This window comes from Homo sapiens, chromosome 1, assembly GCF_000001405.40.
Source record: "Homo sapiens chromosome 1, GRCh38.p14 Primary Assembly".
NCBI lineage: Eukaryota > Metazoa > Chordata > Mammalia > Primates > Hominidae > Homo > Homo sapiens.
Window position 1 is genome coordinate 164,178,524 of NC_000001.11, and position 1,667 is coordinate 164,180,190.

Sequence of the window (1,667 nt, forward strand, 5' to 3'; positions counted from 1 at the left end):
CATGAAAAGTACCCACAAATTTTGAGCCATAAAGGGTAAGAGTGAACGGTTGCTATGGAAGAGAGATAAAGAGCTTGTGTGATACACTTCAGAGACCATAGTGAACAGAAATGAAGAGGTGTGAGTGTCCAGTGCAGTGTCACGTGCTGCAGAGAAGTTAGTCTGAGGACTGAGCAATGGCCACTTGATGGAAAAATTAGAAAAACATTGTCCTTTGAGAGAACTGTTTAGTAAAGGGATAGGGGCCAAAGTGAAAATGCATGTAGGTACTTCTTTATTTATTGCTGCCTCCAGATTCAGACTTGATATAATGTTTAGGCAAAATGCATAGTCACAATTGTCTAAAATGTCTTTATTCAGTGTATTTTAAGCCTTTTTCCCCCAAAGGCATGTTCCCAGGATGTAAATCTGGCTTTCTTTTCAATATTCATTCATTCACTGGCCCACTTATTTGCCCATTTAGACATACAGGTCTCTTTTAAGTCTACAACATTATCATCTTACTTTACTTGCCAGGCCAAAAATGAAATTGCAAATATGTATAGAATGACAATCTTCTTCATGTCCCTTTATAATGTCTTCACGTGCCTCAACTTTCATTTGCCTCTATAATGTCTACCTTGACCACCTCAGAGTAAAATTATTCCTTCATCATCTGGGCTCTTTTTATGTGTTCTCTTATGTTGGTTTTCATTTTGAATGCTTATTTCTTTTCTCCTGAAATCGAGTTAAGAACTATACATGTGACGGATGGACTGTGTCTTATGCATTGTCACCACACCAAGCTGTTCTGCCTTAATTTTAAACCTTCCATTTTTTTCCCTATTTCTACAAGGCAAGAGCTCTGAGCATACCATACAACTACATTATGTTATAACTAGTTGTAACATAATTGGAGTTTCATGCTTCAAAGCTTTGCACATGCACAGATGGTAGGCAAGCTCCTTGAATTCCCCCAGTAACCATGATTTAAGCTTAGTTGTTCAACACTAAAATATTAAATATTAATTGTGTACCATACACTAGACACAAAAGAGCTACCTTTAAGGAGCTTGCACTGGGCTGCTTATATTAGTTTTCTATTGCTGCTCTAACAAATCATCACAAACACAAAGTAACACAAATTTATTATCTTAGAGTTCTGGAGATCAGATGTCTGAACGGGGTCTCACCAGGTTAAAATCAAGGTGTTGGCTGGGTTGTATCTCTTCTGGAAAGTGCAAGGTAGAATTCATGTCCTTCCCTCTTCCAGATCCTCAAGGCTGCCTGCATTCCCAGGCTCACGGCCCCCTTTCATTTTCAAAGCCAGCAAGGGTGTATTTAGTCCTCCCATTGTATCACTCTAGTCTTGCTCCCTTTGTTACATCTGCTTCTCTGACTCTAACTTTTCTACCTTCTTTCTCTACTTTTAGGACCCTTGTGATTGCATTGGGTTCACTTGGCTAATCCAGGATCATCTTATTTTAAGGTCAGCTGATTAGCATACTTACTACCTCAATGACATGTAACCAAACATAGTCAAAGGTTCCAGGGGTGAGTATGTGAACATCTTTGGGGAGCCATGATTCTGCCCACCATATTGGTAGATACAGTATGTCATAAATGGGTAAAAGAAGATATTTTTATGATGTCAGAAAAGTATACTTAGAGGGAAATGGAGGAGAGAA

General features: G+C 38.8%; 1 annotated feature.

Annotated features, from left to right (window-relative positions):
* Positions 1,257 to 1,426: an enhancer, noted in NCBI's record as "experimental_715 CRE fragment used in MPRA reporter constructs". NCBI's record gives its function as "activates a minimal promoter by MPRAs in K562 erythroleukemia cells, with activity observed for both the introgressed and non-introgressed 1:164149102 variant alleles {active_cell/tissue: K562}" and the evidence as "EXISTENCE:reporter gene assay evidence [ECO:0000049][PMID:34662402]".